General features: G+C 44.5%; 1 protein-coding gene across 11 annotated transcripts in view, besides 1 other annotated feature; it reads left to right on the top strand.

The window, feature by feature from the left end:
• SLC6A16 (solute carrier family 6 member 16) overlaps positions 1 to 18,280 on the top strand; it is a 50,693-nt gene extending 32,413 nt beyond the window's left edge. For all 11 annotated transcript variants that reach the window (XM_047438703.1, XM_047438702.1, XM_011526860.3 and 8 more), the window contains 5 exons: positions 13,365 to 13,551; positions 13,890 to 14,091; positions 14,536 to 14,695; positions 17,151 to 17,313; positions 17,526 to 18,280. In XM_047438703.1, coding sequence (XP_047294659.1) covers positions 13,365 to 13,551; positions 13,890 to 14,091; positions 14,536 to 14,695; positions 17,151 to 17,313; positions 17,526 to 17,795 — 982 coding nt within the window. In that variant the 3' untranslated portion in view covers positions 17,796 to 18,280. The remainder of the gene's footprint in view (positions 1 to 13,364; positions 13,552 to 13,889; positions 14,092 to 14,535; positions 14,696 to 17,150; positions 17,314 to 17,525) is intronic.
• Positions 6,285 to 6,364: an enhancer, noted in NCBI's record as "active region_14930". NCBI's record gives its function as "activates an Ori minimal core promoter by ATAC-STARR-seq in GM12878 lymphoblastoid cells {active_cell/tissue: GM12878}" and the evidence as "EXISTENCE:reporter gene assay evidence [ECO:0000049][PMID:35858748]".
• Positions 18,281 to 21,612: the final 3,332 nt, after the last annotated feature.

Here is a 21,612-nt window from a genome sequence, read left to right as displayed (position 1 = left end):
AAGGAAAGGAGAATGAGACAGCCAAAAACTTGTGCTAACTGGTAACTGAAGTGATGGGTGAGGACAGGAGACAGAGCCATTAATTCTGTCTGGACTAGTCAGATGGGGCCTTCCAGAGGAGGCAACCCTGAGTTGAATTTCTCCCAGTAATCTTTTTTTTTTCTTTTTCTTTTTTTTCTTTTTCTTTTTTTTTGCTTCCTCCTCCTCTTCCTCTCTCTCCCAGCAGATTTTTTTTTTTTAATTTAAATTTTTGAGAACAGGGTCCCACTATATTGCTCAGGCAGGTCTTGAACTCCTGGGCTCAAGCCATCCTCCTGCCTCTGCCTCCCAAAGAGCTGGGATTACAGGCGTGAGCCACCGCGCCCGACCTCTCCTAGTAACCCTAACCCTCACAAATAACCACCATTTTCTTCTAGAAGATGCCTGGGAATATACATGTGTGCGTGTGCAAGAGTTCTTGACAGCATATAGTTAGGAAAGGAATTGCTGAGTAGGGTGTGCTCCCCTTCAATTTTATCATATATTGTCTGGTTTTCAAAGTGGCGTAATGCATTGCCCTCCCATCAGGGATGTGTGAGACTTCCATTTGTTCTACTTTTTGCACAACACTTGATTAAACTTGGTTGGACTTTTAAATTGTTTCCAGTCTGGTGGGAGTGTAATGGTAGTTTTTTTGTGTATTTTCAAAAAAACCTTTTATTATGAGCTATTACCTACATATGGAAAAATGCATAAAACAAGGCCGGGAGCAGTGGCTCACGCCTGTAATGCCAGCTCTTAGGGAGGCTGAGGTGGGAGGATTGCTTGAACCCAGGAGTTTGAAATCAGCTGGGCGAGACCCTTCCTCTAACAAAAAAAAAAAAAAAGTGTATAAAACAATGCACTGTGTAACGAACCGTGAAGTAAACATCACCTGTATTAAGAACTAGAATAACCCTAGATGCTCTCTGTGTATCTTTTTCTAATCATAATCTCTTTACTGCCTCCCAGAGGTAACCATCATAAAAGTCAGGATAGTGGTTACTATATTGCTTAGTAGATACGCATACATAGATGATCAAATGTAAAGAAAAACAAGCCGGGTGCGGTGGCTCATGCCTATAATCCCAGCACTTTGGGAGGCTGAGGCAGATGGATCACGAGGTCAGGAGTTTGAGACCAGCCTGGCCAATATGGTGAAACCCCATCTCTACTAACAAATACAAAAATTAGCCGGGCGTGGTGGCACACACCTGTAGTCCCAGCTACTCAGGAGGCCAAAGCAGGAGAATTGCTTGAACCTGGGAGGTGGAGGCTGCAGTGAGCTGAGATTGTGCCACTGCATTCCACCTGGGCAACAGAGTGAGACTCTCTCTCAAAAAAAAAAAAAAGAAAAAAAAAAAACAAAGAACTAAGGATAGTGATTAATGTTTTTCTTTATATTCTATCATCTATGTATGCATAGCTAAGCAATATAATTTGTCCACTTATATAAAGCAATATGTTTAGTTATTTGTTCCCTCATATATACATTCTCTTTGCTTACTTTTGTGCTTTCTTTTTCTCATCCAACATGTTTGCAATATTTATCCATATTGTGTATAACTTTAATCTGTGCTCTTTCTTTTTCTTTTTTTTTTTGAGACAGACTCTCGCTCTGTTGCCCAGGCTGGAGTGCAGTGGTGTGATCTCGGCTCACTGCAACCTCTGCCTCCTGGGTTCACACCATTCTCTTGCCTCAGCCTCCCAAGTAGCTGGGATTACAGGTGCCCACGACCATGCCTGGCTAATTTTTTGTATTTTTAGCAGAGACAGGGTTTCACCGTGTTAGCCAGGACGGTCTCGATCTTCTGACCTCGTGATCCGCCCGCCTCGGCCTCCCAAAGTGCTGGGATTACAGACGTGAGCCACCACGCCAGGCCTAATCTGTGCTTTTAAAATGCTGTATAATGTTTCAGTATATGAATATACCACAGTTTTTAAAAATCCATTCAACTATTGATAACATTTGGAGTCTTTCCAGTTTTATGCTATTAAAACAATGTTGCTGCAAACATTCTTATGCATGTTCCTGATGTACTACATATGTGCACATTTTTCTGGGATATGAGTTAGATTGTTGGGGCATAGTTGTCTATTCTTGGGTAACAAATCACTCTGGAAGTAAATGGATTAAAACAACAATGATTTATCTCATGATTCTGCGGGTTGGCTGGAAAGCTCTTCTGCTGGGCTTGTATGGGTTCACTGACATGGCTGCATTTAGCTGGAGGGTTGGCTGGGGGCTGAGCCCAGCAGGGACGGCGCTGCTCACTGCTCTTCTTCTTCTTTTTTTTTTTTTTTTTTGAGACAGATCTTTGCTTTTGTCACCCAGGCTGGAGCGTAATGGTGCAATCTCGGCTCACTGCAACCTCCGCCTCCCGGGTTCAAGCGATTCTCCCGCCTCACCTTCCCGAGTAGCTGGGATTACAGGCACCCACCACCACACCCAGCTGATTTTTGTATTTTTAGTAGAGACGGGGTTTCACCATGTTCACCAGGATGGTTTCAAACTCCTGACCTCAAGTGATCCACCCACCTTGGCCTCCCAAAGTGCTGGGATTACAGGCGTGAGCCACCACACCCAGCCGGCACTGCTCTTCTTTAAGTGGTGGTGGCTGGGTTCACTCCTGTTTGTAGTCAGTTGGCTGGCCAGCAAGGGCTGCTCTCTTCCATGAGGCCTCTCCATGGGGCTAGTTTGGTCTTCTTCACATGGTAGCTCACAGAGCACAAAGGCAGACTCAGCAAAGTGTCTTGAAGCGAAGTATAGGACTGCTTCCATTGCTGCTACATTTCTTGGTTGAAGGAAGTAAAAAAGCTACCCCAGATTCCAAAGGTGAAAAATAGACTTTACCTCTTAATTGGAGGAGCTCCAAAATATTGTGGCTGTATTTATTCAATCTACCACATATATCTACAACTTCACAGATGATGCCAAATTACTTTCCATAGTATCTGTGCCAATTTATAATTGTATGTATATGAAATGTGTGTATGGAAGTTCTCATTACCTCACTCGTGCAAATACTTGTATTGTCATAGTTTAAAGCAAAATGTGTGGTCAAGTTCATTTTTGCCCATTTTAAAAAAAATATTGGATGATCTATCTTTTTCTATGGAGTTCTTTATATGTTCTGGATATGTAGTCATTTTCCAGTTGTATATATTAAAATTCTTTTCTCTCACCTGGTGGAGTGCATTGAACATCCCAGGTTCAAGCGATTCTCCTGCCTTAGCCTCCCGAGTAGCTGGGATTACAGGCATGTGCCACCACGCCTGGCTAATTTTGTATTTTTAGTAGAGACGGGGTTTCTCCATGTTGGTCAGGCTGGTCTCGAACTTTCGACCTCAGGTGATCCGCCCACCTCAGCCTCCCGAAGTGCTGAGATTACAGGCTTGAGCCACCACGCCCAGCCAACAAAGGTTTTTAAAGGAAAAAAATGAGGAGGATAACATAATTGTTTTGAAATAATTTTCCTTGACTACAGAGATCGATAACAAGGGTGACACCAGTCCAAGATTGGATAGGCGTTTGTTGGGCAGATGTTTCTGCAGGAATATTTTGTGTGTGTAAGGTTGCAGTGGCCTTTATGCGTGGTTATAGTTTTTGTAGTTGTTTTTCTAATCAGACATACAAGTGTGAGAACCCTCTCTTTATGGCCTTCCTTGACTCAATTTGCTAGGGCTTTCTTAACATTAGTGACTCCATTTTATTCTGATAACGTTCACATTTCCTCTTTTAATCAAGATCTTTCTCCAAAAGCATCACTGATCAATCATTCATATTTGGGTTTTCCTGTCCCTCAATGTCATGATGGGCCTGTCCCAGTTGCTGGTCTCATGTCACATTGAGGGGAATGATGGGTGACTTGGAGTCAGTGTCAAACTCTTGTAGCCACATTTGAGCAACAAGGGACATTTGAAGGGGGTATCTCTTAGGCTAAGTCTATCTGAGGTCCATTATGAAGTTCAATTTTGTCTGTTCCATAGTCTTTTGTTATCATCTCAAAGTGTTTGGCTGGGCCAGCATTATTTTGTTAGGAGTTGTACTTCTGTAAAAATTTAACAAGTGACAGATACAAAGTTTTAAAAAGGGCAAATATAAAGTAAAATTAATAGTAATATGATAATAGTTTTGTGCCCCAAACCTTATCACTTGTATAAATCAAATGACTGAAGGGCGTTAGATGAGACCAGTTCTAATGGTGTGGCTTTTTTTCTTTTTTCTTTTTTCTTTTTTTTTTTTTGAGACAGTCTCACACTGTCACTCAGGCTGGAGTGCAGTGGCGTGATCTCAGCTCACTGCAACCTCTGCCTCCCGGGTTCAAACAATCCTCCTGCCTCAGCCTCCCAAGTAGCTGGGACTACAGGTGGGCGCCACCATGCCCAGCCAATTTTTGTATTCTTAGTAGAGACAGGGTTTCTACTAAACCCTATACTGGCCAGGCTGGTCTTGAACTCCTGGCCTCATGATCCGCCTGCCTTGGCTTCCCAAAGTGCTGGTATTACAGGCATGAGCCACCCTGCCCGGCCTACATACTTTTTAAAGTATTCTTGGTTGTCAGATTTTTTTTCAGCACTTTGAATATATCATCTTACTCTCTCCTGGACTGCAAGATTTCTGTTGAGAAATGTGTCGATACTTGTACTGGGGCTCCCTTATATGTGATATGCTTTTCTCTTTCTGCTTTCAGAATTCTTTGTCTTCAGTTTTAAATAATTTGTTTATAATATGTCTCAATGAACTCTTCTTTGGGTTGAATTTTATTAGAGACCTCTGAACTTCTTGTACCTGGATGTTTGTATCTTTCTCCAGATTAGGGAAGTATTCAGCTATTTTTAAAGATAAACTTTGTCCTTTTCTCTTCTCCTCTGTAAATCTTGTTATGTAAGTGTTCTCTTGATGGCCTCCCATAGATATTGTAGACTTTCTTTGGTTATCTTCATTTCTTTTTCTTTTTCTCCTCTGACTGGATGATTTAAAATGATGTCTTTGAATTTGCTTATTCTTTCTTCTGCTTTTCTAGTCAGCTGTTGAAGCCATCTATTGTATTTTTTGTTTATTGTTATTCTTCAGCTCAAAAATGTTTGTTTGGTTCTTTTTCATATTTTCAGTGCCTTTGTTTAGCCTCTTCTTTCGTTGTTCTATTGTTTTCCTGATTTTGTTAAATTGTTTTCTCTGTTCTTTTATAATTGACTGAGATTCTTTAGAACCATTATTGTGAATTCTTTGTCAGGCAATTAGTGGATCTGCTATTCTTTGGAGTCAGCTAATGGAAGTTTATTGTTTTCCTTTGGTGTTATCATGATTCTCCAATTCTTCATGATTTTTATAGTCTTGAGAAAAGCATTTGAAGAAGCATTAACTTCAAATGCTTTTTTTGGGGAGAAGAGTGGTGCTCTCTGGCACTGGGTCCAGTGGCACAGAGTGCCAACTGTGGGTGGGGGTGCGTGTGGTGGGTCCAGGTTGGAGGGACACAGAGTCTTGTTAGCACAGGCAGCTGGGGGCTGTGATGTTGATACCTGCATGGTCCTTGGTGGCAACAGCTGTGGGAGGTCCACAGTGGCTGTGAACCTCCCACAGAGTTTTCTGGGACCTCAGCTGTGCCTCTTGCCTAGCATCTAGGGGCCAGGACTCGCAGCAGTGGAGGCTGGGGTCAGTGGTGTGCACACACTCTGCTGCAGAGGCTGGCTGTAGGCACAAGCATGGCAGCAGAGGCTAGTTGCAGGCTCATTAATGGTGGCAAGGGGTGGAGTCAGAGGCAGGGGCTGGGGTTGACTAAGGGCATGCATGTGGCAGTGGGGCCTGACAGCTTGTGCCTAACTGCAGGGGCCTGCTGCAGTCTGGCCACAGAGGTCAGTCCATCTGCATGTACGTGGGCAGTTGCAGGGCTGAGCTGGAGGCGTGTGTGCACATGCAGCCGCGGGGCCTAGCTGAGGGTGCAAACGTGATGCTGGAGTTAGAACCTGGGGATGGGGAGGCATGGCTGTGTGCAGGCACATGCATGGTAGCTGTGCTGGGTCCTTGGCTCAGAGCACTTGTAGAGGCAGCAGCTGGGGTGACTCCATAGAGGAGGGGTATTGGCTTAGGCACCCAGAGAATGCGATGGCCACTGGGGTGAGTCCCTGGGTCTGGTCTGGGTGACCATGGTATTGAACAGCTTAGGTGGTTTCAGGGACAGAGGAAGGAGAAATTAGAGGGCCAGGCACCTGGAGACTGTGAAGGTGGAAAAAACTACAGGGCTTTTGCTGCTGCAGTGCTGGCAGTTGGTTTCCTCAGCTGTGAAAGCTGCTTGGTTCCTCTGCAGAAAATGGTGCTGGCATCAGCCATTGGTAACACCAAGGTGTCCTTGGTGGTGAAAACTGTGGGGAGCTGCACAGTGGCCAGGAGTGCTGTTGAGGTCCTCAGTACAGAAGTGTGCTAGAGACCCGTGTTGAGCAGGCCACTAGGGGGCGCTGTGGCTCCCACCAGCATGGCTGATACTGACAGCCTGTCCCACTTCTTGGTTCCCCATTATCTCCGTAAGTCTCGGCAATGCCAGTCCCCACGGAAATGTGAATGGAGTGAAACTGAAGCTGGTTGGGCAGTGTCCCAAAACACTAGGGAAGCTGGTGGTATAGCCTGCTCTCATTATCCCTGAAAGAGGGTTATGCGAGCCAGGGAATTCCCTCTCCATGCTGAGCAGTGCTGGCTCGGGGGATGGGGTGATGTGGGCAAAATGGAATTGTTCTTTCCACCCTTTCTGTATGGGTTTTTCTAGGGTTCTTTCTCCCACTAAAAGTCAGCTGAAGCCGACTTCTCAATTCTTCCAGAGTAATTTTTATTTTATTTTATTTATTTATTTATTTTTGAGATGGAGTCTCGCTGACTTCCAGGCTGGAGTGCAGTGGCCTGATCTCGGCTCACGCAACTTCCGCCTCCCGGAATCAAGCAATTCTCCTGTCTCAGCCTCCCAAGTAGATGGGATTACAGGAACGTGCCACCATGCCCAGCTAATTTTTGTATTTTTTGTAGAGACGGGGTTTCCCCACGTTGGCCAGGCTGGTCTCGAACTCCTGACCTCAAGTGATCCTCCCGCCTCAACCTCCCAAAGTGCTGGGATTACAGGCATGAGCCACCGCGCCCGGCCCAGAGTAATTGTTGTTCAAGGATAGTTGCCAAATTGTTGCTCTTTATAGAGAAAGGGAGGCTGGATCCCTTTCTCTGCCATCATGATAGGAAATAATTGGCTCTGTCTCCCATCTTACTTTGCTATTTGTTTCTCCTGGTCTGTATTTTGTTTTTTCTCTTTTCTTGCCTTCTTTTGGATTGACTTAGTAGTTATTTATCATTCCATTTTTTTTTTCCTCCACTAGTCTGGAAGTTATCCACTCTGTTTTCTGTTCTTTCAGTGATTTAGTGATTTCCCCAGAATTCACAATATGCATTCTTAATTTATCGATGTCTAAAGGTAATCAGTACTTCACTGTCTTTCAAGATAAGGGCTCCAAAACTCTTTATATCCATTTACATGCATTCCTAACTTACATTTGAATGTTATATCATGTTTTTGTTTTGTTTTGAGACGGAGTCTTACTTTGTCACCCAGGCTGGAGAGCAGTGGTGCAATCTCAGCTCACTGCATCCTTTGCCTCCTGGGTTCAAGTGATTCTCCTGCCTCAGCCTCTCGAGTAGCTGGGATTACAAGCATGCACCTCATGTATTTTTATTTCATATTATTTTGCTAAAATGCAAAGATATTATTGTTTTATTATATAGTTAATGTTCAATTAGATGTACTACTTCCTATTTATTGCTTTCTTTGATCTTTATTCTATCTTGCATCCTGGCCCTTCCATGAGGGATTTCCTTCTACTTGAATATCCTTTAAATTACTCTCTTTTTTTTTTTTTTTTTTTTTTGAGACAGAGTCTCACTCTGTCGCTGAGGCTAGAGTGCAGCAGCACTGTGTCAGCTCACTGCAGTTTCCTGCCTCAGACTCCCAAGTAGCTGGGATTACAGGTGCCCACCACCACGCCCGGCTAGTTTTTATATTTTTAGTAGAGACAGGGTTTCACCATGTTGGCCAGGCTGGTCTTGAACTCCTGACCTCAGGTGATCCACCTGCCTTGGCCTCCCAAAGTGCTGGGATTACAGGCGTGAGCCACCATGCCCAGCCTAAATTATTCTTTAGTGATAGTCTGCTAGTGGCCAATTCCCTACTTTTCTTTTCTGAAAATATCTTTCACTGTGTTTTGAAATCTATTGTATCTGGATATAGATTGCTAGCTTGGCAGTGCCTTTTTTTTTTTTTTTTCCTAGCACATTGAAGATAGCCTACTATCTTTCAGCTTTCTCTTTCTTTCTTTCTTTTTTTTTTTTTTTACACCAAGCCTCCCTCTGTCACCCAGGCTTTCGGCTCACTGCAACCTCTGCCTCCCAGGTTCAAGCAATTCTTGTGCCTCAGCCTCCTGAGTAGCTGGGACTACAGGCACATGCCACCACACCAGGCTAATTTTTATATTTTTAGTAGAGACAGAGTTTCCTCATGTTGCTCAGGCTGGTCTCGAATTCCTGACATCAAGTGATCGGTTTGCCTCATCCTCCCAAAATGCTGGGATTACAGGCATGAGCCCGCTTCTGGCATCTTTCAGCTTTCTTTTTTTTTTTTTTTGAGACGGAGTCTCGCTCTGTTGCCCAGGCTGGACTGCAGAGGTGCGATCTCGGCTCACTGTAACCTCTGCCTCCCGGGTTCACGCCATTCTCCTGCCTCAGCCTCCCGAGTAGCTGGGACTACAGGCGCCCACCACCATGCCCGGCTAATTTTTTAGTATTTTTAGTAGAGACGGGGTTTCACCGTGTTAGCCAGGATGGTCTTGATCTCCTGACCTCGTGATCTGCCTGCCTCTGCCTCCCAAATGCTGGGATTACAGGTGTGAGCCACCACACCCGGCAGGTTTTCTATTCCTATGTTAATTCACTTAGGATAATAGCCTCCAGCTGCATCCATATTGCTGCAAAGGACATGATTTTGTTCTTTTTCATGGCAGTATAGTATTCCACAGTATATATGTATCACATTTTCTTTATCCAGTCTACCATTGTTGGGCATCTAGCTTGATTTCATGTCTTTGCTATTGTGAATAGTACTGTGATAAACATATGAGTACATGTATCTTTTTGGTAGAACGATTTATTTTCCTTTGGGTATATAGACCCTGTAATGGGATTGCTGGGTTGAATGGTAGTTCCCTTTTAAGTTATTTGAGAAATCTCCAAACTGCTTCCCACAGTGGCTGAACTAATTTACATTCCCAGCAACAGTGTATAAGCATTCCCTTTCCTCTGCAGCCTCACCAACATCTGTTGCTTTTTGTCTTTTTAATAGCCATTCTGATTGGTGTGGTGAGAAACACACCAGTGAGCATTTTTTCATATATTTGTTGGCTGCATGTATATCTTCTTTTGAGAAGTATCTGTTCATGTCCTTTGCCCATTTTTTAAATGGGGTTATTTATTTTTTGCTTATCAAATTACTTAAGTTTGTCATAGATTCTGGATATTAGACTATTGTTGGATGCATAGTTTGCAAATATTTTCTCTCCTTCATGTTGAGTTTCTTTTGCTGTGCAGAAGCTCTTCAGTTTAATTGGATCCCACTTATCTGTCAATTTTTGTTGTTGCAAGTGCTTTTAAGGACTTTTAATTCATAAATTATTTGCCAATGCACAGGTACCTTTTAACATTGTTTCTCTACACCTTCACTGTAATATATCTAATGGGGAATTCCTTTTATTTTGCTTGGGATTCTTTTGGCTTCTTGCATCTATGGATTACTTTTTTCATTAGTTCCAAAAATTCTCAGCCATTGTTTGTTCACATATTGTCTCTGACTCACTGGCCATGTCATCTCATTTGTTAGACCTTTTTACTATATCATCTAGGTCTTAGAAACTCTCATATTTTCTACCTATGTTCCTCTCACTCCTGGCCCCAATTAATCACCAATCTGTTTTCTATCATCATAGATTAGATTTGTCTTTTTTTTTCTTCAGAGTAAGTAGAATCATACTATATGCATTCTTATATCTGACTTCTTTCACTTAGCATGTTTTTAGTATTCATCTATGATACTGGATGTATTGGAGGTTCGTTCCTTTTTATTCCTAAGTATTATTCCATTTTATGATTATACCACAATTTCTTCATCCATTCTCCTACTCAGAGGCATCTGAGTTGTTTCCAGTTTAGGGCTGTCTCAAGTAGAGCTGCTTTGAGAGTTCATGTACAAGTCCTTGTATGGACATATGTTTTCATTTCTCTTGGATAAACACCTAAGAGAAGGATCATTGGGTCACTGGGTTACGTGGTAACGGTATGTTTAATTTCATAAGAATTTGTGGAACTGTTTCCAAAGTGGTTTTAAATCAGTTTTCCATTCTTACTAGTATGGTATGAGAGTTCTGGTTGTCCCACATCCTTGTCAATACTTGATGACATCAGGCTTTTTAATTTTAACCATTCTGGCAGATGTGTGGTGTGGTATGCCATTGTGATTTTAATTTGCCTGTTTCTCAGGACTACTAATGTTGGCTACCTTGGAAAGTGCTTATTGGCCTTTTACAGAGCTTGTCTTGTAAAGTATCTTTTCAAGTCTACTGTCCATTTTAAAAATCAGGGTTTTTTTTGGGCGGTGAAATTATTGAGTTGTAAGCATTCTTTATATATCCTAAATGCAAGTTCTTTGTCAGTTGTACATATTGTGGATATTATATCTCATTCTGGGGTTTGTCTTTCGTTAATGAAGCCTTTTGATGAAAAGACATAATTTTGATGATGCCCAATTTATCAATTTTCTTTCATGTTTTGAGCTTTTTACATCCTCAGACAGTTCTGTTTACCTCAAAGTTGCAAATATATATATATTTTTTGAGATAGGGTCTCACTCTGTTGCCCAGGCTGGAGTGCAGTGGCACGATCTTGGCTCACTGCAGCCTCTGCCTCCCAGGCTCAAGTGATTCTCCCGTCTCAGTCTCCCAAGTAGCTGGGACTACAGGCGCCCGCCATCACGCTTGGCTAATTTTTGTATTTTTAGTAGAGATGGGGTTTCACCATGTTGGCCAGGCTGGTCTCGAACTCCTGACCTCAAGTGATCTGCCCGCCTCAGCCTCCAAAAGTGCTGGGATTACAGGCATGAGCCACCGCGCCTGGCCAAGATTGCAAAGATTTTTCTCCTGTGTTTTAAAGTTTTTGCTTTTTCTGTTTAGATATCTATTTCACATAAATTTCTGTATAAGGTATGAGGCAAGGATCAAAATTAAATTTTTTTCTATTTAGATATTCAGTTGTTCTAGCACTATTTGTTAATAAGACTATCCTTTTCTTATTAAGCTGCCTTGGTATCTTCGTTGACAATTAGTTGTCCACAATATGTTTCTGGGCTCTACTCAGTATCATTAGTTAACATGTCTATTTTTTTTACACCAATACCTCCCTGCTTTGATTACTAAGGTATTACAGTAAACCTTAAAATCAGATTGTATGAGTTCTCCAACTGTGCTATTTTTTTTCCAAAATCGTTTTGACTATTGTAGATCTTTGTTCTCCAAGTAAATTTTAGAATTACCTTCCCAGACTGAGTGTGGTGGTTCATGCCTGTAATCCCAGCACTTTGGGAGGCTGAGGCGGGCAGATCACCTGAAGTCCGGAGTTTGAGACCAGCCTGGCCAACACGATGAAACCCTGTCTCTACTAAAAATACAAAAATTAGCTGGGCATGGTGGCGCACGCCTGTCCCAGCTACTTGGGAGGCTGAGGCAGGAGAATCGCTCGAACCTGGGAGGCGGAGGTTGCAGTGAGCGGAGATCGCACCAATGCACTCCAGCCTGGGCGACAGAGCGAGGCTCCATCTCAAAAAAAAAGAAAAAGAAAATAAAAAGCCTGCTATGGTGTTAATTGGGATTGCATCAAATCTGTAGATCATTTCTGAAACAGCTTTCCTTGCATTCCCAGTTGTGTAGAAGGGCCAGGAGCAAGCTTCTGCTTCATTTTTATTGTGAAGGTGTAGCCCTTTGAAGTGTCAGATTTAAGAGGGGAACTTCTATTCTGATCCTTATTTTGGGCAGGCTCTGGTGTTTTATATCTGGCCTCCATGGCCCCCTTTTGTATCTGAAAAGTCATAAAATTGGAAACTGCAGGTCCAGTTTGTTGTATTTGGCATACATCTTTGGGACAAAGTATCTTTGGAAGTCCCCTTTCTCCACTGCTTTGCCTGTACTTCAATGTTTGCCTGATAATTCCTTATTATCTTGTCAACATTTTTATTTTGTTAGAAGATTTAAAAATATCTTCCAGCCTTTTAAATTATTTCCGATGAGAAAATTGGTTCAAATCTCTAGCTTATTACTGGAATAGCATATAGTATTTTATTTTCTAAAATGTGATCAAACTCTACTTGCTTGCCTTTTGCTTTTATCAGTGAACCTTGGCAAGCTGTCCATTGCAGTTCTTACAGAGCAATGAGCTGAATTTTTTTTTTTTTTGAAATGGAGTCTCGCTGTCGCCCAGGCTGGAGGGCAGTGGTGCGATCTCGGCTCACTGCAACCTCTGCCTCCCAGGTTCAAGCAATTCTCCTGCCTCAGCCTCCCGAATAGCTGGGACTACAGGCACGTGCCACCATGCCCAGCTGATTTTTGTATTTTTAGTAGAGACGGGGTTTCACCATGTTGGCCAGGATGGTCTCGATCAATGAGCTGAATTTTTAAGGGTTTGTAGGAGTTAGCCAAGTGAAGAATGGTGGTGGGGGTGGAGTTGGTATTGTGTGTGATGGGGTATGATGGGCCCTGACACGGTAAGTAGTTAAATCTGGCCAGAACATGGAATGTGAAGAGGGCCGTAGGGACATATGAGGCCAAAATGGTCAGCAGGGCTCACATCAAAAAGTCGAACAAGCAGTTGCTGCCACACAGCACGACTCCATGGGACATTATGATCATAGTCTGTGTGCTCCCGGACATGCTGTAATAGGAACTTTAGAAAGTTGGCTCTTACCCGTTAGTCTCAGTGGAGAGGGAAGGTAGACAGCGTATAAGAAATCCCATCACTAGAGCAGAGACCACAGAGTCCCCAAGAAGACTGTAGAAAATGCTTCTCCTAGGCTCTCCCATGGTCATAAATTCTCCAGGATTACACAAACGAATTCACGTCCCTGAAGGCGGGTGCCTTCTAGGATTCATCCCAGGCTCTATCTTACCCAGATCAGTAATGCTAAGCCAGTGATAGCCTTTTTTATCTTGAAGATAAGGGAAAAGGAGACTATCTCCTACTGGGCCAAATGGTTCGATTTGATTCAACCCTCTATCCCCAGGAATGCTGAAATACTTTTAAAGCTGATAAACCTAGGGAAACTGCCTCCTGATGCCAAGCCCCCTGTCAACCTGCTTTACAACCCAACCTCCATCTACAATGCCTGGCTCAGTGGCCTTCCCCAGCACATCAAAAGCATGGTTCTCCGCGAGGTGACTGAGTGCAACATAGAGACTCAGTTTCTTAAGGTCAGTAAACATAGCTGAGGGGGGAGCCTAGAGTTCCTGAAAGCCTTTAGCACAACAGAAATTTTAGCTTTTATTAGCACCAGCAAAAATCCCGGAAGCACCAGAATCATCTGTGGCTCTCAGTAATACAAAGTACTATACTTTGCGGAATGGCCTTCCATGGATAATGCTAGGTGGATTGATTTTCCATGTCAGGGGGTTAGCTTGGACATCTGATTTTCTCAGTGATCCAGGGATTTTCAGGAGTTTTCCAGGGAAGATAGAATGTATACTTGTCTATATTTTTTTGTTATTGTTTAGTTCAATGACACTTTAACACCTCTTTGTTCTCTTTGCAGGCTAGCGAGGGCCCAAAGTTTGCATTCCTGTCCTTTGTTGAAGCCATGTCCTTCCTTCCTCCGTCTGTCTTCTGGTCTTTTATCTTCTTCCTGATGTTGCTGGCCATGGGGCTGAGCAGCGCAATAGGGATTATGCAGGGCATCATTACTCCACTCCAGGACACCTTCTCTTTCTTCAGGAAACATACAAAGCTGCTCATAGGTACTCTGACCTAGGCCCTACTCCTAACAATGACCCTGACCCCTGACACCACTGGGACTCTTTTTTTGGGACAGGGTCCCTGTAGCCCAGGCTGGAGTGCAGTGGTGTGATCTCGGCTTACTGCAACTTCTGCCTCCTGGGTTCAAGTGATCCTCCCACCTCAGCCTCCCCAGTAGTTGGGACCATAGGCGTGCATCACCACGCCCGGCTAAGTTTTGTAGCTTTTGTAGAGACGGGCTTTCACCATGTTGCCTGGCTGGTCTCAGACTCCTGGGCTTAAGGAATCTGCCCACTTAGGCTCCCCAAAATGCTTGGATTACACATGTAAGCCCCCTCGCCCGGCTACCACTGGGTCTGCCACCAGCCCTGGTCTATGGCCTCTACTTAGCCCTTGTCACCCAGCCGTGACTTCTAACCTTGATCCAGATCTCATGTTTTCTCCAGTGGGAGTCTTTTTGCTCATGTTCGTGTGCGGCCTCTTCTTCACTCGACCTTCAGGCAGCTACTTCATCAGACTGCTGAGTGACTACTGGATAGTCTTCCCCATCATCGTCGTTGTCGTATTTGAAACCATGGCTGTATCCTGGGCCTATGGGGCCAGGAGGTGATGTCCTAAGCCCAGGTTCTCACAAAGCATGGGACTATAGGGAAGGGTGACCCCTTTTTTGTTGCCTCTACTGTCAACCCACCTAGTGTGACATAGGGACCCTTAAGTTCAGAGTCTTCTGGGAAATCTTTTTATTCATTCATCCATTTTCACATATATTTTGGGTGCTGAATATGTGCCAGGCACTATTTTAGTCATCAGGGATAGGGGCATTGAATAAAAGAAGTATTCCTATTCTCAGAAAGCTTACATTTTAGTGGTCTAGAGAGACAATAACCAGATTAGCAAATAAAGAATAAAAACGTTGAGAATAAATACAGGCGATAGGAAGAATCAAAGGATGAGGTCAGATGGCACATAGTGGGAGTGTGTGTGGGCACCAAGTCACATACGACTTCAGGGAGGGCCCTTCCGATAAGGTGACATGTGAGCAGACTCCTGAATGATAGGAGGGAGGGAGTCATGACAAGATTTTGAGTAAAGTGCTCCCTGCAGGGAAACAGAAATTACCAAGGCCAGAGGAAGCATAATGCCTAGAGTTTTTGAGAAACAAGGAAGTCAGAGAGGCTGGAATAGAAGATATTAGGAGATGGGGCTAGAGAAGTGATGGTGGCCAAGTCATGTAGGGTTTTGTAAGCCACGATAGGACTCAGCTTTGTATGCAGAATGGCAGATGAAGCATTGGAGGGTTTTGAGTAGGAGAATGACATTTTCAGGTGGGAGTGCCATTATTAGATTTGTTTTTTAAAAAGGTATTTATGGCTGCTGTCTGGAGAACAGACCAGGAAGAGTCAAGAGTGAAGCCAGGATAAGAGTTGGAAGCTATGTAATATTTCTTTTTTTCTTTCTTTTTGAGATGGAGTCTTGCTCTGTTGCCCAGGCTGGAGTGCAGTGGTGCGATCTCAGCTCACTGCAACCTCCGCCTCCCGGGTTCAAGCAATTCTCCTCCCTCAGCCTTCTGAGTAGCTGGGATTACAGGCATTCACCACCACGCCCGGCTAATTTTTGTATTCTTAGTAGAGACGGGGTTTCACCATGTTGGCCAGGCTGGTCTCGAACTCTTGACCTCGTGATCACCTGCCTCAGCCTCCCAAAGTGCTAGGATTACATGCGTGAGCCACCCCGCCTGGTGAAAGCTATGTAATATTTCAAGTGAGAGCTAAGAATGGCTTGGTCAAAAGTAGAAGAGTTGTGGATTAAGAGAAGTGGTCTGATTCTGGAAGGTAGAGCTACCTGGGAAAGAGAACAAGATAATCTGGGAGTGAGACCTGGAAGATATAGCTGTGGAATGTAAGTCTATAGTAGAGGTAGCCAGGGCAACTCCGGGGGCACAGATGGTTAGTTAAGGAAGACTGGAGAGTTGGGGAAGGTGGCCTAGAGGAGAGGATGCTTGAGCAGAGCCTGGACAGATGAATAGGTGGAGATAGGGTGATGGGCACCCTAGACCAAGAGACCCCACTTGTATATTTATTGAGATTGAGAATATGTACTAAAGGAGACTGGATAGTTGGCTGAAATAAACTAGATAAGTTTCCCAAGGGCCAAATGCCACTTTCTTTTATCTGTGTTCAGTGCTGGATATCCAGCACTTAGAAGAGTTCCTGGTATAATTCAGGGGTGAAAGCCTCAGCATTTTCATCTGATAGTGGTTCTTGGAGTCAGTTTGCTCACTTATGGACTCATTTATTAACTCACCCAACAAACATTTTCTTGAGACTTTGTGTCAGGAAAGCCTTGTGGTACTGGGATATGAATGACTTACATTGAGATACTCTTCTCAAAGAGCTCAGAGTCCAAAGAGAAAGACGTATATAAGCAGAAAATCCCAGTACCCGGTGGTAAGTCTATAGTAGAGGTAGCCAGGGAAACTCCGGGGGCATAGATGGTTAGTTAAGGAAGACTGGAGAGTTAGGGAAGGTGGCCTAGAGAAGAGGATGCTTGAGCAGAGCCTGGACAGATGAATAGGTGGAGATAGGGTGATGGGCACCCTAGACCAAAAGACCCCACTTGTATATTTATTGAGATTGAGAATATGTACTAAAGGAGACTGGATAGGTGGCTGAAATAAACTAGATAAGTTCACCAAGGGCCAAATGCCACTTTATTTTATCTGTGTTGTTCACTGCTGGATATCCAGCACTTAGAAGAGTTCCTGGCACATCATAGACATTCTCATATTTATGGGATGAATGAAAGAGACTTGGCCTTTCTCCTGAGGCCATTGGATACCCATGGAAAGTTCTTGAGCAGGAGAGGGGTGTTTGGAAAAGTTTCTTGGGTTAGGATAGAAGACAGACTGACTAGGGGGAAGATGAGAGAGGACAAGACTTGAGATGAAACAGGAGATTAGAGATACAATAGAATGTTTGAAAGATGCCAAGGTTGGGCTGGCCCTGCCTCCAAGGTGGTGAGGCCTAACTGGGCATCCCACACTCTGGTGGCCCTTCTCCAGGTTCCTTGCAGACCTGACGATCCTGTTGGGCCACCCCATCTCTCCCATCTTTGGTTGGCTGTGGCCCCATCTGTGTCCAGTTGTGCTGCTAATCATCTTTGTGACCATGATGGTTCATCTTTGTATGAAGCCGATCACCTACATGTCCTGGGACTCAAGCACCGTGAGCCTCCCCCAGGACCCAGAACCCCTTTGGGAGTAGGGGCCAGACCTTTCAATTCACTCTGGGTGAAAGAACCCAGTCATCTCATTCTCTTACTGCCCGAAGACTCATGGGTTTTCTGCTTTGGTTCCCCACCCATCCTTCCCCTCCACAACTCTTCCTTTTCTCTTGGGGATTTTGATATTCTGAACCCTTTTCCCATCTCTCCACAGTCAAAAGAGGTGCTTCGACCATACCCACCGTGGGCACTGCTCTTGATGATCACCCTTTTTGCCATTGTCATCCTCCCCATCCCTGCATACTTTGTATACTGCCGCATACATAGGATTCCCTTCAGGCCCAAGAGCGGAGACGGGCCTATGACAGCCTCCACATCCCTACCCCTAAGTCACCAGCTAACACCCAGTAAAGAGGTTCAAAAGGAAGAAATTCTACAAGTTGATGAAACAAAGTACCCATCAACTTGTAATGTGACTTCCTAACTTCATTAATTTGGCTTCACATAACATATCCCTTAGAACAGATCCAATAGACAACTCTTAATATCAGCTTGCAACTGTTGATCTCCCTGGATCCAGAACCACTTTTATTTCCAAGAGGAGGGGCATTCTTTGGGGGTGTTCATGGGGCCTGGACTTGCAATCCCTTCCTGGGTCCCATCTTACCTGGTGACCACCATCATTGTTTTCCCCATCCTCTTCCTCAACACACATACATGCACAACACATATACAATACTAGTGATGTCTACCAGTCCTGCTACTTCTGGGGTGCCTGTCTCCTGGAATGGAGCTGGAGGAGCAATGCTGTTGGTGAATAAATCAGTCTACTGGAACTCCAAGGACTGGATGTAAGCAGATCTTTTTTTCCTATAGATGTCTCAGATGTTCAGTTTTCCTGTCACAAGGCTTCCAGTCTGTATTAGTTCATTTTCACACTGCTAATAAAGACATACCTGAAACTGGGAACAAAAAGAGGTTTAACTGGACTTACAGTTCCACATGGTTGGGGAGGCCTCAATCATGGTGGGAGGTGAAAGGCATTTCTTACATGATGGCAGCAAGAGAAAAAAATGAGGAAGAAGCAAAAGTGGAAACCCCTGATAAACCCATTAGATCTCATGAGACTTATTCACTATCACGAGATTAGGATGGAAAAGACCAGCCCCCATGATTCAATTACCTCCCCTGGTTCCCTCCCATAACACGTGGGAATTCTGGGAGATATAATTGAAGTTTATATTTAAATGGAGACACAGTGAAACCATATCATTCTGCCCCTGGCCCCTCCAAATCTCATGTCCTCACATTTCAAAAGCAATCATGCCTTCCCAACAGTCCCCCAATGTCTCAACTCATTTCAGCATTAATCCAAAAGTCCAGAGTGTCATCTGAGACAAGGCAAGTCCCTTCCACCTATGAGCCTGTAAAATCAAAAACAAGCTAGTTACTTCCTAGATACAATGGGGGTACTGGTATCAGGTAAATACAGCCATTCCAAATGAGAGAAATTGGCCAAAACAAAGGGGTTACAGGGCCCATGCAAGTCCAAAATCTAGCAGGGGAGTCAAATTTTAAAGCTCCATAATGATCTCCTTTGACTCCAGATCTCACATCCAGGTCATGCTGATGCAAAAGGTGGGTTCCCATGGTCTTAGGCAGCTCCACCTCGTGGCTTTGCAGGGTACAGTCCCCCTTCCAGCTGCTTTCACGGGCTGGTGTTGAGTGTGGCTTTTCCAAGCTCAGGGTGCAAGCTGTCAGTGGTTCTACCATTCTGGGGTCTGGAGGACAGTGGCCCTCTTCTCACAGCTCCACTAGGCAGTGCCCCAGTAGGGACTCTGACTCTGTGTGAGGGCTCTGACCCCACGTTTCCCTTCTGCATTTCCCTCCCTGGCAGAGGTTCTGCATGAGGGCTCTGCCCCTACAGAAAACTTTTGCCTGGACATCCATGCATTTCCATATATCTTCTGAGATCTAGGCGGAGGTTCCCAAACCTCAATTCTTGACTTCTGTGCACCCGCAGGCTCAACATCACGTGGAAGCTGCCAAGGCTTGGGGCTTCTACTCTCTGAAGCCACAGCCCGAGCTGTACGTTGGCCCCTTTCAGCCATGGCTGGAGTGGCTGGGACACAGGGCACCAAGTCCCTAGGCTGCACACTGCATGGGGACCCTGGGCCTGGCCCACAAAACCACTTTTTCCTCCTGGGCCTCTGGGCCTGTGATGGGAGGGGCTGCCATGAATGTCTCTGATATGGCCTGGAGACATTTTCCCCATGGTCTAAGGGATTAACATTAGGCTCCTTGCTACTCATGCAAATTTCTGCAGCTGGCTTGAATTTCTCCTCAAAAATGGATTTTTCTTTTCCACTGCATCATCAGGCTGCAAATTTTCTGAACTTTTATGCTGTTTCCCTTTTAAAACGGAATGCTTTTAACAGCACGCAAGTCACCTTCTGAATACTTTGCTGCTTAGAAATTTCTTCTGCCAGATACACTAAATCATCTCTCTCAAGTTCAAAGTTCCACAAATCTCTAGGGCAGGGGCAAGATGCCACTAGTCACTTTGCTAAAACATAATAAAGAGTCATCTTTGCTCCAGTACCCAACAAGTTCCTCATCTCCATCTGAGACCACCTCAGCCTGGACCTTATTGTTCATATCAGCATTTTTGTCAAAACCATTCAGTAGGTCTTCAGGAGGTTCCAAACTTTCCCACATTTTCCTGTCTTCTTCTGAGCCCTCCAAACTGTTCCAACCTCTGCCTGTTACCCAGTTCCAAAGTTGCTTCCATATTGTTGGGTATCTTTTCAGCAACACCCCACTCTACTGGTACCAGTTTACTGTATTAGTTTTCATGCTGCTGATAAATACATACCTGAAACTGGGAACAAAAAGGTTTAATTGGACTTACAGTTCCACATGGCTGGGGAGGCCTCAGAATCCTGGCGGGAGGTGAAAGGCACTTCTTACATGGTGGTGGCAAGAGAGAAAATGAAGCAAAAGTGGAAATCCCTGATAGACCCATCAGATCTCATGAGATTTATTCATTATCATGAGACAGCATGGAAAAGACCAGCCCCCATGATTCAATTACCTCCCCCTGGGTTCCTCCCACAACACATGGGAATTCTGGAAGATACAACTGAAGTTGAGATTTAAATGGGGACACAGCCAAACCATATCACAGTCTTTCTAAAGCTAAATGTCCAGCCCTGAGTTCCTGCCCTCCCCTTGCTCTGGCAAACTCAGATACTAGATTACCAGGCTTGCATTATCCACGGGCTGGCCTTTAGCCAAGGGAAACCTGGGAAATGGTGACTTCAACAAAGATGGGGAAGATATTAATGTGCTTGCTACTGATACATGATAATCCTATTATAGGTCTAAAATTATTTCTAAAAAGAGGTTGCACTCAAGGTTTGAACATTGTGTTGTGGACTGAGTACATCTGTAAATCAGTGCCACAACCAGTTACTAACAAGCTGTTTCACTGAGCTCACCAAGAGTCCCATTTCTGCTCAGTACTGGGCACCACTGGTTTTTATCCCAGGGTCAAATCAACTGAACTTGCCCAGTGGATGATCACTGAGTGGGTCTTTAAGAACTTGTGGGAGGGTAGTGCCATGAGGGTGCTGAAGTACTCCCCAAAAGGAGACTGGGGGGCCTGTCAGTTACCTGCTGGGGATGGGGGCTGTGGACAGAGGTGATTGGGATTCCCAAAGATCCAGGGAATGGGTTTCCCTTAAATGCTCAGAGATCTCAGGCTTTTAGATTGCTTAGAGCCCACGGGTAAGTTTCAGTGATAAAGGAAAAGAAGACACCCCCAACCATTGGCAGGCAGGACTCAAGAGGTGGATCTGCAGAAAGGAAAGAGCAGAGGCATCTGAAGTTTCCAGACCTCTGAAGTCTGGCTCTTCAAGCTTGAAGATAGGAGGGCTGGAGGGGCGTGCACCTCTGTGTCATCACCCATTGGCTCCTGTGCCCTATTAGGCCAGCCCATCCACCCCCCAAATTCCAAATGCTCTATCTGCTTGAAGACTTGCACTATTGAATCGGGTAATGTGGGGATGGGAGAGAGAAGGCGGTGGGCTCCTCCTTCTCATCAAATAGTCTGGGTCTTCAACCTCCTCCCTTTTGGGAACCAGGGCACTCATCCTCCCTTCTGCCTCAAGGCCCCTCCCACCTACCTCCCCACCATCCCCGGTCCAGTTTTGGAGGTGGAACTTGGGAGAGGGGGATTGAAAAGTAGGGGCTTACCATCTCAAAGAAAGAAAGAAAAAATATTTTATTTCTCTCTTAGT

Source organism: Homo sapiens, chromosome 19, assembly GCF_000001405.40.
Source record: "Homo sapiens chromosome 19, GRCh38.p14 Primary Assembly".
Lineage (NCBI taxonomy): Eukaryota > Metazoa > Chordata > Mammalia > Primates > Hominidae > Homo > Homo sapiens.
This window is presented reverse-complemented; position numbering and strand designations above follow the sequence as displayed.